This window comes from Homo sapiens, chromosome 3 (assembly GCF_000001405.40).
Source record: "Homo sapiens chromosome 3, GRCh38.p14 Primary Assembly".
In the NCBI taxonomy this organism is placed as follows: Eukaryota; Metazoa; Chordata; class Mammalia; order Primates; family Hominidae; genus Homo; species Homo sapiens.
In genome coordinates this window covers 27,699,634-27,715,706 of record NC_000003.12, presented here as the reverse complement: position 1 = coordinate 27,715,706, position 16,073 = coordinate 27,699,634, and the positions used below count along the sequence as shown (strand labels likewise).

Genomic DNA, 16,073 nt, shown 5'->3' with positions numbered 1-16,073 from the left:
GTGTTGGCGGGGCGGGGGAGGGGGGCGGGGGAACGGGGGAGGGAAGATTGCTGCCGATTGCCCACATCAGACTTAACCAAGCCTCGAAAACCTCCGCTTCTGGCTCTTGGAGACCAGGCTCTGTCAGAGCGCCTGGCCACTAAGTTCTCTGGGCTTTTTTCTAGGCTTACTTGGGGCCACCCATCCTTAGGCCCACCTAGGCTCCCTGGGAACCCCCGTGGCCCTTTGAGCGCCCACCAGTTCAGGGTCCCTGGGGCGCGGCGGAGCGGGGGGCTGCACACAGCTCAGCTTCTGCGCCCACCTGCGGCTTTCTTCTGAACCCAGACGCTGCGCACCCGCCGCCGCCGGCTGCCGGCCTCAGTAGCTGCAGTCAAACTCCGCCCGGACTCGGTCTGAGGCGCAGGCTAGGGACGGGCGTGGCACTTACAAAGGAGGATTCCAGTCGTTCCGTGCACTGCCGCTCTGCAAACAGTGACCTTGGAGCAGTTCACCTTGCGCTTAGTTCCGTTTATTTGGCCCACGCTCCACGGGAAGACGAAGGACAGCCCATCCCCTGGCTGAACCCTGGGAGGTCCAAAGAGTGGGGTGGAGGGTCCCCTTTGTCCCCCCAGCCAGACGTCCCGCCAGGCTTATCTGCAGACGGCTTCAGGCCCAGATTGCAAACCTTTCCAGCCCCCTCCTGGACCCTCCCGGGGTAAAGGTCTAGCTGGGAGGATCATTCTGCTAACTGTGTAGCGCGGAAATGCAGCTGCTAAGAGGATTAGCTGCTGGGAGGCGAGCAATCAGCCGAGACCTCCTCCCCTTCTGCGCCCAATTAAGGCCGCCAGGACCTTGTACCTCGACTGTCCTGTCTCCCTTCCCCTCCGTCCCTCTGGGGCCCGAGTTCTTCCCGCGCCACCCGTGACCTTGGGGGCTCGAACTCCTGCTCCGCGTTTCCGAACGGCCTACTCAAAACACTTTGGCAAAGGCGCCCCGAACTTTACCGGGGAGCCAAGGACAAAAGCGTTGAAGATGTGCTTTTTAAGATATATGTACTGTGGATGACTGATTTAGATTCCGGAAGGGAGACTCATAGCCCCCCTATCCTGGTCAGCGCCTTCCCCACACCCCCAACAGCCCCCTTACATCTGCATCCAACCACCGAATATTGGGAGATGCGATGGAATTTCGAAAACAGTGCTCTCCTATTTCTGCCCTCTAGAAAGCCCCAAAGTGCTAATCACTGCCGGGATATAGCAGATTCTGGCCCTAGTCTATTTCGGGTCCTGTATGTTTTTGCATCGTACAGTAAAAAAGAACCTGGTACTTGTGAAAAGTCCCTCACAGTGTTTAATAGAAACGTAAGTGGCTGAGTGGCCCCAATTAACACCTTATGATAAGGCATTCCTAAGATGGAGTGTCAGACACCAAATTGTGAAGAGATGTATCTAATTAATCCTCCTAGGATGACACCGATAAACAAGCCTCTATTTAAATAAAGATCAAGGGCTCGGCGCCCGGTTTGTTTACATTCTCCGCCAGGGTCTCCTAGTATGCACCGGTGCAGGCGGTGTTCCCTGCCCAGGGAGGAGATACTGGCTCGGGGGTCTGCTGGCTCGTCCTGGTTCACATCTCCGTTCTTGCCCCAAATAAACAAAAAACCACAATAAAATCAATAAATTGCAATGAAACAGGAAAAAGCAGTGCAAAGAGGACCTGACTCGGAGTTGGAAATACTGTTATTTGCCGTTTTCCACTGGTGTTCTTTCCATCACCAAACACTTTTTGGTTGTTGGTTTGCGAGGGAAAAAAGGAAGAAGGGGGGAAAGCAGCCCACATGTAGCCTCTAGAATTCTTTTCTGCTCTGGAGAGAATTCGGAGCAGGACCTTCCTCCGGTCCCCACCCCGCCCCGGCACGAGTTCGCTCTGGGTGGTTCCAGAATTCCTCCTCCTGGGTGTAGAAGCTGGGAATTGTCGGGATGTAGAGTAGCTATCCTGGGGGTGGAGTGGGGAGCCGCAGACGTCTGGAAGGGAAACTGGGAAAGGTGGGAAGAGTCAGAAAGAACTTGAGGAGGAGGGGAAGCAGCAGATTAGCGCGCCATATTTTCAGCCCATGTTTGGGCCGGATTTGGAGCCGGTTTCAAGTCTGCAGCAACGTATCTTCCAAACCTTCAATGGAGAGTTTCGAGGCTCCAAATCTGTTTTTGGTCCCGGTTTCCCTTTTTACAGCCGTCTTTGATTCGCTTTAAACCTAGGTGAAAGCAGACTCACGGTCTTCCCTCTCCTCTGCAGTCTCTTCTTTCCGAATTAAACCTGCGTAGGGGGAGGAATGTAATTTTTTAAATCTCTGCGGGTGTCATGGAAACGCTCTGGAATAAAAACTTCCCCGCATTCCCTTTGATTTTTATGGACATTCAGCTAACAGTAGGAACAAAAATTAAGATCTTTCCTTTCCCATTCGCCTGGACACTTATCTTTCCGGCTCGCGCCGCCGTGTCCTCTACCCGGCTACACAGCGACTCCAAAAGTTTAGCTTTCACCCCGCGGAGATTTCGACAGCTCTGGGAGGCTCTTTTTAAAAGGGAATTTGGAGAAATCTGTTGCTGAGCACGATTGAGTCCCACTCTATAAAATACCCATCACCCCGCCGTCATTCCTCAAGTTTACGCTTTCAAATATGCGAACCCCAAGGTCCAGCCCGGGAGTAAGCCAATCCCAGGACCCGGTCCACCGGCGCGTGTCTTGAAAAGAATGTCGGAGGTCAGATTCTCTCCTACCGCTTAGAGGCCTCGGCTCAGCGCACACATTTGGGGTTCGCAGGGCTTCCGCGCGCCGGAACCCGACCTGCGCTGGATTTTCTTCCGGGCGCAGGAGCTAAGCGATATCTTGGACAGTCTGAAGTTACAGGCACCTTTTTCTTCTCCCCCCTCTCCCCCAACAAGACGATGGGACTCCAGCCTTGCTGGTCATCGAATTTCTCCTTATTACGACTTAAATGAAAAGTAAAACACGAGACGTGGGCGAGTGCGCACACACACATCCACCCCCTTCTTCAACTCTGGGAGTCCTCTGTGTGTCGCCGAGGGCACGTATGGAGTTCGCCAAGGGAAGGATTCAGCTGCCCAAATGCTAACCAGGCCCTCAGCAATGGTCCCTAAAGTGCCCCCGCGTCACATGGATCTCTGACCGCCGCCGAAGCAATGCATTATTTCAGGCAGCATTCCCCTCCCACCAAATACACATTAAGAGACACGAGTTTAATTTTCCCCTGCCTCCTTGAAAAGCTCCGAACCCCTTCCTATAAGCCCTTGTGGGGACAGCAGGGCTTGCACAATGACTTTTGTAACTTTAAGTTCTACCCAGGTTTCCCCACACAGTTGGAGTGGAGGAGGACCCCACGCCTCACCCTTGGCCTCCAGGTCCCGCAGCAGAGTTTCCGCGCGGGTCTGCAGGCTCCTCTCTCTTCTGGGCCGCGGGCAGCCTTCGCCATCTGGTGGCCATGGAGAGTAAGGATCTCCCCAGCCGAAGAGAGCTCCTCCACTCTTAAAGCTGCTGCTTTGTCAGGTCCTGAACAGTTCCGTCAAAAAAAAAAAAAAAAAAAAAAAGAAAGAAAAAAAAGGACCCAGTGGCGCGATCTCACTGCAACCTCCGTCTCCCGGGTTCAAGTGATTCTCCTACCTCAGCCTCCCGAGTAGCTGGGACTACAGGCGTGCGCCACCACACCTGGCTGATTTTTGTATTTTTGGTAGAGGCTGGGTTTCACCATGTTGGCCAGGCTGGTCTCCAACTCCTGACCTCAGGTGATCCACCAGTCTCGGCTTCCCAAAGTGCTGGGATTACAGGTGTGAGCCGCTGAGCCCCACACTCCTACGCTTCTTTAAAAGTTTTTTAGTGTAGGGGAAGGAGCCTGGAATTTGGAGTTCTGTGACTTAAGTTCTAGTCCGCCGCCCCTTACAGCGGCATTGTCTTTAGCTTCACTGAACTTCATTTCCTCATCTGTGAAGTGGGGATTCCAACAGCACCTATCCCGGCAAAGAGTACTGAGAAGGAAGAAATGAGATTATAAATTTAACTGTTTTGTAAACTGTTGAGTAGTTCCGAATATTAGTAGGTATCACTAATTACTAATTTTATAACATGTATGATAGTAAACTTAGATGCATTAGCAAAGGAAAGTTTTTATTAATTCAGAAATAATTACAAATATTATGCAGTTTGAAAAAGTAGAGAGCAATGGACCCCCATGTGTCCACTACCAGCTACAATAACCATCAATCCATGGCCTCTCTTATTTCTTCCTGTAATCCCCACTCCACTCTTTCTGCCACGAATCCCGAAATTCCTGTCCTCTAATCCACAATTATTTCCGTACACAGCCCTTAAAGAAAAGGACTCTTTTAAAAAAAAAAAATATATATATATATATATATATATATATATATAACTGTCATGCTATTATCTCATCTAAAAAATCAACAATCATTTCTGAATATCGGGAAATATCCAGGTACGTTTTTCTGGTTGTCTCATAAAGTTGTTCTTGTTATTCTTTTTGTTTGCTTGTTCCTTACAGTTGTTTGTTTTAATCAGGATCCAAACAGGTCCCACACATGTGATTGATGTATCACTTAATTCTCTCAGTCTAGAACTCTCCCCTCTCAACTTTTCTCTTTTATTTTTCCTTGCAATTTATTGAAGAAATTGGGGCATTTGTTCTGTCTAGTTTTCCAGGTTCTGGTTTTGCTGATTGCAGTTCAGTAGTGTTAACATAGTCCTCTGATTCTTGTTTTTCCAACAAAGTGGTGTTTTATTGATCTGATCTAGATTCCACTTTTTTTTAGTAATAATATTTTATAGGTGGTAATATTCCATGAGGAGGCTCATGATGTCCAGTTGTCTCTTTTGGGGGCAGGTCTTTGTACATTGATGACTGTCAGTTAGACCCACTATTTCATTAAGGGGTTGGCAAAGGAGGTAAATTCCAGTACAGCTATTATTATCAATTACATATACATGAGAAAATTTTACTCAATGACACTTTGAATGTGACATTAAACAGAGTAAGCCAAAAAGCCAAGATCTCTGCTCTTTATATATCATCACAGGAAAACAGAGAGGCCTTCTGGGGAACATGAGACACAGAAACCTAGGTGTAAAATGGACAAAATGCATAAATTGGTAAGACTTAGTGGATGAAACATATTTATTAAGACAGTCTAATATGCCCCAAATTGCTAAGAAATCACATTAAACCAGTGCATATCAAAGTGATAAAGTAGGTTTCCATCTGTTTTTCTACTCTCAGGGCAAATTGTCAATTTCCTGATGCCTTTAAAAATATATTTCAATAACTCATAAGGAGGAGCATCATATGGAAATCATAAGTGCTAAAAAAAGGACTATTAAATAATTTGGTTGTTAAGCAGGGAGGGGAGTGATTTCATCTACCACAAGAGAAGTGGTTTTTTACCACTTTATTTGGAAATGATTGAGGGAGGAATCTGAGGGAGAGAAAGGTCGGGGGAAAGTCCAAGTTACTATCCACAATTCACAGCCTAGAACTTCTAGAACTGGAATGGAGTTGGTTACTGAGAGAGACCATCATGGAAATTCAAAGAATAACAAGGGTAGATTTGAACATGTAGATACCATTGCCACCATCTTGTTCCCTTCCTCGTCCCAGACACCAAATTGTAGACTATTCCGCAAAACTTCAGGCAATCAGAATGTTTCCTGCAAAGGTCTTAGATTGCCACCATTTCTTCTTGAAATGACTCAATATTAATGCCATAAGTATATAGCCTTCTGTTAACTAGCACTTCTTCCTAAATCCCTAAATCAGTCATCATTCCTTGAGTCACCGAATTGGAGAGCTGGGAGGCACCTTAGAGACTGCTCTAGTTCTATAAACCCCACTATACAGAGGCAAGAACCAAGTATCACTATGGTTTTGTGGTTTGCCAAGCCCCTTGAGGAACTCATTGGTTTGGCAGTGTATCATGGGTTAGACCCTATACTTTGGACATACAATATTTCAGAGGCTTGGGAAATATGTTTAGTCATGAAAACGTTAAATTCAAAAGCATAGTTTTTATTATTGTTTATGTTTTTCAGAGGATGAACAATATTTGAAATCCAAATGTATCCATGATTAATTTTTCTTCTTTTTCTTCTTCCTCTTCTTTTCTTCTTCTTTTTTTTTTTTTTTTTTTTTTTTTTTGAGACAGGGTTTCACTTTATCACCCAGGCACAATCATAGCTCACTGCAGCCTCAAAATCCTAGGTTCAAACAATCCTTCTACCACAGCCTCTTGAGTAGCTAGAACTACAGGTGCACACCACTATGCCTGGCTAATTAAAAAAAGTTTTTTTGTAGAGATGGATTCTCACTATGTTGTCCAGGCTGATCTTGCAATTCAGGGCTCAAAATCCTCCCACTTCAGCCTCCCAAAGCACTGAGATTATAGGCATGAGCCACCACACTCAGCCTTTTTTTAAGCCTATCATGGAGTGGTGCCTTCTTCATTGCACACTTTGGCCTATATAGCTTTGGGGTAGTGAATCCACAGAATATATGTTCTTCACCCTACATATTTGCTGGTTTTCTTAATCTTGGCAGGCAAATTTTGTCTTTATCTTACAGATCTAAAACCCAAGAATGATCTTTGGTATTTTACTTCTTTCAGGATTCAAGTTCCTCTGGTAAAAAGGCTTGTTGTTGATATAATTAACCAATAGTCTGTGCTCATCACTAAATATTTAGAAGACCACAGACACAGACTACATAGCTGTTATAGAAGAGCACAGAGAAGCATGAGTTAAGTTAGTGTGCAAAAATGTGTATACATGCTTGTATGTAGGAGTGTGTATTTGTGCCCCAGAGCTAATAACATTAAGCTGAGATTACAGAGTGTAGAATACAACTTGGAGAAAATGGTTAAGATGGTATCTAATATTTCCATTAGGGACTTTTCTGTTCAGAGCTGTCAAAACAGATTCTGTGAATTGACTAGACTATGGAAGGTGATCATAATGATATTGATGAAACACATAACTGAAAAACAGAATTTAAATAGAAGAGAGTCTCTAGAAATACAACTAAATCTTAATCTGGAGATACATGCCTCAAAATAACTCTCTCCCATTCCTTTTTCCCTCTCAACAAAAACAAACTCACTGGAAAAGGACAATCAAACATTTCCAAGCCTTGCAATGCCCTATTTCCCATCGGAGTTTCGGGAAAAAAAAATGTATGAGTCACATTCTTAACCTGGCAATAAGGTCCACGAGGTATTTGGTTTCTCTGTGTTTGCCAGCTTTCTTGTACATAGGCGAGGTTGCCAGATCCAAAGAGAGAGTAGTGTGGATAAGACCATTTGACAAAGGCTGCAGCTTTAGGAAGAACTTGACCAACCTTTAGTAAACCAGCAAGAAGGAGGCCAGACTCTCTCCTTCCACCCTCAAATCCCCTCAGTGCCCCTGTTTGGCTGAACCCAGTGAGAATCCAAAGGGCTAAACAATCTCTTGATGCAGTCATAGAGGTCAGCCTCCTCTATAGAGGAGGCAGGATGGCACAAGGCAGGACAGAAAAGAATGAAGGGTGAAGCTTGGGGGCAATGAAGAAGAAATCCAGCCCACCTATCACCCTCCAATGTCTTGACTGCTAAAGGATACTCTTGAGAGTACTCTTAAGTACTCTCGAGTTGTTTTGAGATTCCCCAAAGAGGATGTTTCAAGAATAGCTGAAAAATTTGGGTTTTTATGTGAAAATCCCCCTACTTTTCAGTTTTGGCACCCTACTTGAAAAAATTAAATAACCAAAATACTCCTGTGAGGAAGATTTCACTACGGAAAGCTTTTGACCACTGATCTAGAGCAATGCTATGATTTTAATTGAATTTCAAAAATGTCAAAAGCATGGCCGGGCGCGGTGGTTCACACCTGTAATCATCCCAGCACTTTGGGAGGCCAAGGCAGGCAGATAGCCTGAAGTTGGGAGTTTGAGACCAGCCTGGGCTATATGGTGAAATCCCGTCTCTACTAAAAATACAAAAATTACCCAGGCACAGTGGCAGGCACCTGTAATCCCAGCTACTTGGGAGGCTGAGGCAGGAAAATCGTTTGAACCTGGGAGATGGAGGTTGCAGTGAGCCGAAATCGTGCCACTGTACTCCAACCTGGACAACAGAGCAAGACTCCTCTGTCTCAAAAAAAAGAAAAAAATGTCAAAAGCAGATTTCTGCTCTAATACAAGATGGAGTAACAGGGATATGAATTAACTTTCTGCTTGAAAAAAAAACTAAACTAAAAATCAGATATATATATATCTGATATATATAACCAGATATATATATATATATATATATATATATATATATATATGGCTTCCATTAGGCAATGTAAAATAGTAATCTATTAAAGAAGAGAAATGAATGAGGAAAACCCTAATATTTCTCCAACTTACTGCCTGGAGAGTTTCCAGGCCTCAGTTTAGCATGGGGATAGGGACCCAGACAAAGCCCAGCAGTCTTCTTGATTTGAGGAGACAAAACTGTAAGGATGAGGAGGCCAAGATGGCTAGAGTTTTTGGAGCAGAGTTCCAGAGAGGAGAGACCTGCCCAGAAAGAAAAATCTAGAGAAGTGAATAGGGTCTTCCTCAACTCCACCTGAGTGTTGATCAGCACACGCATGTGAAGAAAATACCCCAAGCCCACAGGATTAGGCAGGATTTCTCAACCTCAGCTCTATTGACATTTGGAGGCAAAAAATTCTATATTGTGGGAGCTGCATTATAGGATATTTAGCAATATCCTGACTTCTACCAACTAGATGCCAGTAGCACTACCCCACCAGTTGTAACAACAAAAAGTGTCTCTACACATTGTCAAATGACCTCTATGGGGCAAAATTATCCCAGCTGAGAACTACTGGATGAGAGGTATTAATACCCAGTATTTACCCTGACTGAGGATTGTCCCCTTTCCCACTCACGAAAGTGGAAAACTTCATAATTCATGAGGTATCAGGAAAAGAACTCAGAAGGGTCTTGCTTCAGTAGTGAGCTAAAGTAGTACTGGACTAAATGCTGCTCTGGTTTAATCTAAGTAGGCTTATAAACAAGAAGTGAAACTTAACTATATCCATGAAGAAAGCTCAAGTTATATGTATAGTAATAAAACTAACAACCAGCACAGAACAAAAAATATTTTAAATGCACAGGACCCAATCAAAAATGGCCAGACATTCAAAAAAGCAGGAAAATATGACCCACAATAAGATTAAAAAAATCAATCAAAACCAACTCAAAGTGACAGATGATAAAATTAGTAGACAAGGATATTAAATAGTTACTATAACTGTATTTCATATGCTCAAAAAGCTAGAAAAAAGGTTGAGAATGGTAAGTAGAGACATGGATGATATTTTTAAAAGAACCAAATTGAACTTCTAGAGATAAAAACTACAAATGTCTGAAATTGAAAAACACTTGGTGAGATCAGTGGCATATTATACATTGCAGAAGAAAAGATTAGTGAACCTGGAGGTATAGAGATTGAAAGGATATAAAATAAAACACACAAAAATAAAAAGCTGGAGAAAAATAAACAGAGCTTTAGTGAGCTGTGGGATAATTTCAAGCAGCCTAACATGCCTGTAATTGGAGTGCATCAAAGAGAGGAAAGAGAGAAGGGTACAGACAAGATATTTGAAAAAATAAAGGTCAAAATATTTCAAATGTGGTAAAAATTATAATCCACCAATCTAAAGAGTTCAATTAAACCAATCACAAAAAAATGCAAAGAAAACTACACCAAGGCTTATCTTAATCAAATTATTTAAAACCAGTGATAGAGAAGAAGACATCAAAACAGTCAGGGGGACAAGGACACATTCTGGGCAAAGGAACAAACATATTAGGTTAGGTTAGTGCAAACGTAATTTCGGTTTTTGCAATTACCTTTAATGAAAAAACCTAAATTGTGTTTGCACCAACCTAATAAAAATGATAACAAAAAATAAGTAAGCTGGATAACATTAGAACATCTTTGAAGTACTGAAAGAATAAGTAAAACCATCAACCTAGATTTTTATACCTAAGGAAAGCATATTTTAAAAACAAAGGTAAAATTACTTTCTCAGACATACAAAAGCTAAAAGAATTCATCATCAGGAGACCTAAGCTACAAAAAAAAAAAAAAAAAAAAAAAAAGGTAAGAGAAATGCTTCAGGCAGAAGGAAAATGATACCAGATGGAAATTTGAATCTACTTAAAAAAATGTAGGGCACTACAAATGTTAGCTACGTGGGTAAATATAAAATATAAATATAAAATACTTGTTTTCTTATTTTTAAAATCTCTTTAAAAGAAAATGGACTGTTTAAAGCAAAAATAATAAGATATTCTAGGTTTTTTTCTTTTAAAAAAGATTTTGTTACTTTTTGTTTGTTTGTTTTTTTCTAGCGGCCCTCATCCAATTGTGTGGTGTTTATAACATACATGGAAGTAAAATATGTGATAACTATAGCACAAATGCTGGGAGGGGAGAAACAGAAGCATATTAACTGAGTTATTACCCTATGCATCAAGTGGTATAATATAATATCACTTGAAGGCAAACTGTGATAAGTTAAAGAATCATAAAACATATTCAATTAATCTAAAGTAGGCACAAAAAGAAGGAAAAGGAAATGAATAAGAAACAGAAAACAAATAATACTGTGGTAGATTTAAACCCAACTGTACTAGTCAGGGTTCTCTAGAAACAGAACTAATAGGAGAGATGTGTGTATGAAAGGGAGTTTATTAAGGAGTATTGACTCACATGATCACAAGGTGAAGTCCCACAATAGGCCATCTGCAAGCTGAGGAGCAATGAAGCCAGTCCGAGTCCCAAAACCTCAAAAGCAGAGAAGCCAACAGTGCAGCCTTCAGTCTGTGGCCGAAGGCCCGAGAGCCGCTGGCAAACTACTGGTGTAAGTCCAGGAGTCCAAAAGCTGAAGAACTTGGAGTCAGATGTTCGAGGTCAGGAAGCATCCAGCATGGGAGAAAGATGTTTACTACAAACCCTAAAGCAACCACTAAAATAACACAACAAAGAATTATAGCTAATAAACCAACAAAGTATCACCTGCCCAGCTACTTTTTTTTTTTTTTGAGACAGAGTTTTGCTCTTGTCGCCTAGGCTGAAGTGCAATGGCGTGACCTCGGCTCACTGCAACCTCCTTCTCCCAGGTTCAAGCAATTCTCCTGTCTCAACCTCTCGAGTAGCTGGAATTACAGGCACCTGCCACTACACCCGGCTAATTTTTGTATTTTTAGTAGAGATGGGGTTTCACCATGTTGGCCAGGCTGGTTCGAACTCTTGACCTCAGGTGATCCACCTGCCTCAGCCTCCCAAAGTGCTGGGATTACGGGCAGGAGCCACTGCGCCCAGACAATTTTTTTTATTTTTTTGTAGAGACAGGGTCTCACTATGTTGCCCAGGCTGGTCTTGAAATCCTGACCTCAAGCAATCCTCCCACCTGAGAAATCCACTTTAAAAATAAAGACATAGACCTGGCATAGTGGCTCACGCCTATAATTCCAGCACTCTGGGGGGCCAAGGCAGGCAGATCTCTTGAGGCCAGGAGTTCAACACTAGCCTGGCCAAGATGATGAAACCCCGTCTCTACTAAAAAAACACAGAAATTAGCCAGGTGTGGTGGCACACACCTATAGTCCCAGCTACTCAGAAGGCTGAGACACAAGAATCCCTTGAACCTGAAAGGCGGAGGTTGCAGTGAGCCGAGATCGCACCGCTGCACTTCAGCCTGGGAGACAAAATGAGACTCTGTCTCAAAATAAATAAATAAACGGACACACACGGTTTAAAATTTAAAAGGCAAAAAAGATATAACATGCTAACACTAACTAAAAGAAAGCTAGAGTGGCTATGTTACTATCAAAGTAGATTTTAAAAAATAAAACTGGTCATTTAATAATGATAATGGGATAAATTTATCAAAAGGTCATAATAATCTTAAGTTACCAGCAACAAACAATAGAGATAATTATTTGATGTAACATTCAAAAATTAATCATTGTAATTCACCATGTTAATAGACTAAAAGTGAATAACTATTATTGTCTACATAGACGCAGAAAAAGTATTGGACAAGACGTGCGGCCAGCCGAGCCAGCATTCCTGGCTCGCTTCAAGGAGTGGGTTGGCTATAGGGAGGAGCCCACCGTAGAGACCAAGAGAATCCAGCCTCATCTCCCAGACGAAAATGGGGATCACAGTGACAAAGATGAAGAGCCTCAAGTGATGTTTTTTAAAAAGGGAGACCTGTCAGTTGAAGAAGTCATGAAAATTAAAGCAGAAGTAAAGGCTGCCAAAGCAGATAAAGAACCAGCTCCAGCTGAGGGAAGAATCATGTATCAAAAACCAGTAAAGCACCAGTCAAGTGCCCCTCAGATGAAAAATATTCAGGTTTAAAAGCAAGCCCAAAAAGAAGACAAATTAAGATGCAATAAATCAGGACTCAGTCAAAAAGAACTCACAAAAACAAATAAAAAACAGTAGCCTCCTTTCTTTTGACAGTGAAGATGACAATAAGTAAGTGTAAATATTTTGAATTTAGTCTACGTTGAAAGTACATGCGATGTTTTTTAAAGTAACATTTTTTTCCTATTATAAAGATACTACAGGCCAGGCACGGCGGTTCACGCCGGTAATCCCAGCACTTTGGAAGGCCAAGGAGGGCACATCACTTGAGGTCAGGAGTTCGAGACCAGCCTGGCCAACATGGTGAAACGCCATCTCTACTAATAATACAAAAATTAGCCGGGCATGGTGGCAGTCACCTGTAATCCCAGCTACTCAGGAAGCTGAGGCAGGAGAAGAGCTTGAATCTGAGAGGCGGAGGTTTGCAGTGAACTGAGATCAGGCCATTGTACTCCAGCCTGGGCGACAGAGCCAGACTTTATCTCAAAAAAAAAAATAAAAAAAAAATAAAAACTACAAGTTACTTATAGAAAATTTAGGAAATACAGGAAAAAATTTAATAAACTACATCTATTCATCAATACCCCTCTGACTTAATATGCCAACTCTAGAAATTAGCTAGTATTACCATTTTGTTATTTCCCCTGTGTGGGTGTATATATATGTAAATTATATTTTTAAACAAAATACATTTTGTTTGTGTAAACAAAAAAAGAAACGGTATTAGACAAAATCCAACATTCGTGCCGGGCAAAAACTCTAACCAAACTTGAAATTGCAGGGAATTCCCTCAACCTGGTAAAACGCATCTTTGATAAACCTAGAATTAACATCATATTTAATGGCGAAAGATAGAATGCTTTCCCCCTAACATCAGGGATGAGATGACTCTATTTCTACTCACCATTATACTGGAGGTTCTAGCTTGGCCAATGAGGCAAGAGAGAGAAATAAAAGGCTCTTAGATTGGGAAGATTGAAGTAAAATGGACTTCATTTGAATATAACATTATCATCTACGGAGAAAATCCAATAAAAAGGCCATTACTAATAAATTTTAGTAGAGTTGTAGAATACAAGATCAATATACAAAAGTCAATTTTTTTATATACTAGCAACAAACAATCAGAAATTAAAATAAAAATACTATTTAATAGCATCAAAAATAAGAAATGCTTAGGTATAGACCTGACAAATTATGTGCAAGATCTACGCCCTGAAAGCTACAAAACACTGCTTAGAGAGATTAGAGAAGACCTAAATAAATAGGGAGATTCACTGTGTTCATATCAGAGGGCTCCATATTGTTAGAAAATAAATTCTTCCCAAATTGATGTATAAATTCATTAAGGCTTTTTCTTTTTTAGAAATTTTGAAGCTGGTGTGGTGGCTGTAATTCCAGCACTTTGAGAGGTCAAGGTGAAAATATTGTTTGAGCCCAGAAATTTGACACTAGCCTGAGCAACACAGTGAGACCCTGTCTCCACAAAAAAATTTAAAAATTACCTGGACACAGTGGCACACCCCTGTGTTCTCAGATATTCGGAAGGCTGAGGTGGGAGGATCACTTGAGCCCAGGAGGTGAGGCTACAGTAAGCCATATTCACACCACTGCACTCCAGCCTGGGTGACTGACAGAGAAAAACCCCATCCCCCCAAAAAAGAAATTGCTAAGCTGTTTGTAAAATTTTTCTGGAAATGGAAAGAACCTAGAATAGTCAAAAAAGTGGAAAAAAAAAACCAAGAAGAATGTTGGGGGACTTACATTGTCTTTAGGAATTATTATAAAACTACAGTAATCAAGATAGTATGCAACTGGCATTAAGATAAAGCAATGGAACTGAATATTGTCTAGATGGAGACCATCACAACTGATTTTCAAAATGGTGCAAAAGCAATTCACTGGGAAAGCATAGTCTTTTTAACAAATGGTGCTGCAACAACTGGATATCCAAATGCCATTCATACCTCACATCATATACATGTATCAGTTTAGAATGAACTGACTTAATGGTTATAGTCTTAAATGTAAAAGTTAACACTATAAAACCTATAGAGGAAAACAGGAGAAAAGTTTTGTGACTTTTAGTCAGAAACAGCTCTTTAAGGTCTAACACCACATGTACTATCCATAAAGAGAAAATATTGATAAATGGGACTTTATCAACAGTAAGAGCTTATGTTTCTTAAAAGACATTGGTAAGAGATTAAAAAGATGAGTCACAGAATGTGAGAAAATATTTGCAAATCACATATCTGATAACAGACTTGAATCTAGAATATATAAAGAGCACTCAAAACTCAAAACAAACAACTCAATAAAAAATGAGGAAAAGATTTAAAAAGACACCTTCCAAAGAAGACATATGGAGGATGACAAGCACAAGAAAAGATGTTCAGCGTCACTGATAATCAGGGAAATCCAAATTAAAACTACTGAATGATGGCCGGGCGTGGTGGCTCAGGCCTGTAATCCCAGCACTTTGGGAGGCCGAGGCAGGCAGATCACGAGGTCAGGAGGTCGAGACCACCCTGGCTAACACAGTGAAACCTCGTCTCTACTAAAAACACAAAAACAAAAAATTAGCTCGGCTTGGTGGCAGGCGCCTGTAGTCCCAGCTACTCGGGAGGCTGAGGCAGGGGAATGGCGTGAACCTGGGAGGTGGAGCTTGCAGTGAGCCAAGATTGCGCCACTGCGCTCCAGCCTGGGTGACAGAGTGAGACTCCGTCTCAAAAAATAAAAAAAATTAAAAAAATAAAACTACTGAATGATACAAAAGACCCTACTACGTACCTAATTTTAGAATGTCTACAGTTTTTAAAGATTGGCAATACCAAGTGTTAGCAAGGATATGGAGGAACCGGAACTGTCATACACTGCTGGAGGGTATATAAAATAGTACAACCTCTTTGGAAAACAGTTTGGCAATTCCTTAAAATGATAAATAAATACTGACTGTGACCCACATATTCTACTCTTAGGTATTTATCCAAAATAACAAAAATATATGTCTATAAAAACACTTCTGGCCAGGCGCAGTGACTCAGGCCTGTAATCCCAGCACTTCGGGAGGCTGAGGCAGGTGGATCACCTGAGGTCAGGCATTCAAGAACAGCCTGGCCAACATGGTGAAACCCATCTCTACAAAAATACAAAAATTAGCCAGGCATGATGGCGGATGCCTGTAATCACAGCTATGGGAGGCTGAGGGGAAAGAATCGCTTGAACCCAGGAGGCAGAGGTTGCAGTGAGCCAAGATCGTGCCATTGCACTCCAGCCTCGGTAACAGAGTGAGACTCCATCTCAAAATAAACAAACAACAACAAGAAAAAACACGCTACAAATATATTCATCAGAGTTTTATTTGTAATGACTTCAAACTGAGAAGGCCCAAGTGTCCATTAACCTGTGACTGGATAGACAAATTGAGGTATATCAATGGAATGAAATACCACTTGGTAATAAAAATGAATGAACTATGATACAAGAAACAACTTGGATGAATCTCAGAATAATTAAGCTAAGTAAAAGAAAACAGACAAATAAGACTATGTAATACATGATTCCATTTATAGAAAATACTAACTGCTCCTTGGTGACAGAAAA

General features: G+C 41.8%; 1 long non-coding RNA gene and 1 pseudogene across 1 annotated transcript, besides 2 other annotated features; one reads left to right on the top strand and one right to left on the bottom strand.

The window, feature by feature from the left end:
• Nucleotides 722-1,618: an enhancer, noted in NCBI's record as "NANOG-H3K4me1 hESC enhancer chr3:27755580-27756476 (GRCh37/hg19 assembly coordinates)". NCBI's record gives its function as "activates a minimal SCP1, AML or CMV promoter by ChIP-STARR-seq in naive H9 embryonic stem cells {active_cell/tissue: H9 hESC(naive)}" and the evidence as "EXISTENCE:reporter gene assay evidence [ECO:0000049][PMID:30033119]".
• On the bottom strand, nt 1,307-2,788 carry LINC02084 (long intergenic non-protein coding RNA 2084). The gene is made up of 2 exons (XR_007095851.1): nt 2,665-2,788; nt 1,307-2,550 (listed from the first exon to the last, which is right to left on the bottom strand). It is a non-coding gene; the product is annotated as a long intergenic non-protein coding RNA 2084 (long non-coding RNA).
• Nucleotides 2,290-2,975: an enhancer, noted in NCBI's record as "H3K27ac-H3K4me1 hESC enhancer chr3:27754223-27754908 (GRCh37/hg19 assembly coordinates)". NCBI's record gives its function as "activates a minimal SCP1, AML or CMV promoter by ChIP-STARR-seq in naive H9 embryonic stem cells {active_cell/tissue: H9 hESC(naive)}" and the evidence as "EXISTENCE:reporter gene assay evidence [ECO:0000049][PMID:30033119]".
• KIAA1143P2 (KIAA1143 pseudogene 2) lies at nt 3,180-12,582 on the top strand (annotated as a pseudogene).
• The last annotated feature ends 3,491 nt before the right edge of the window (nt 12,583-16,073 follow it).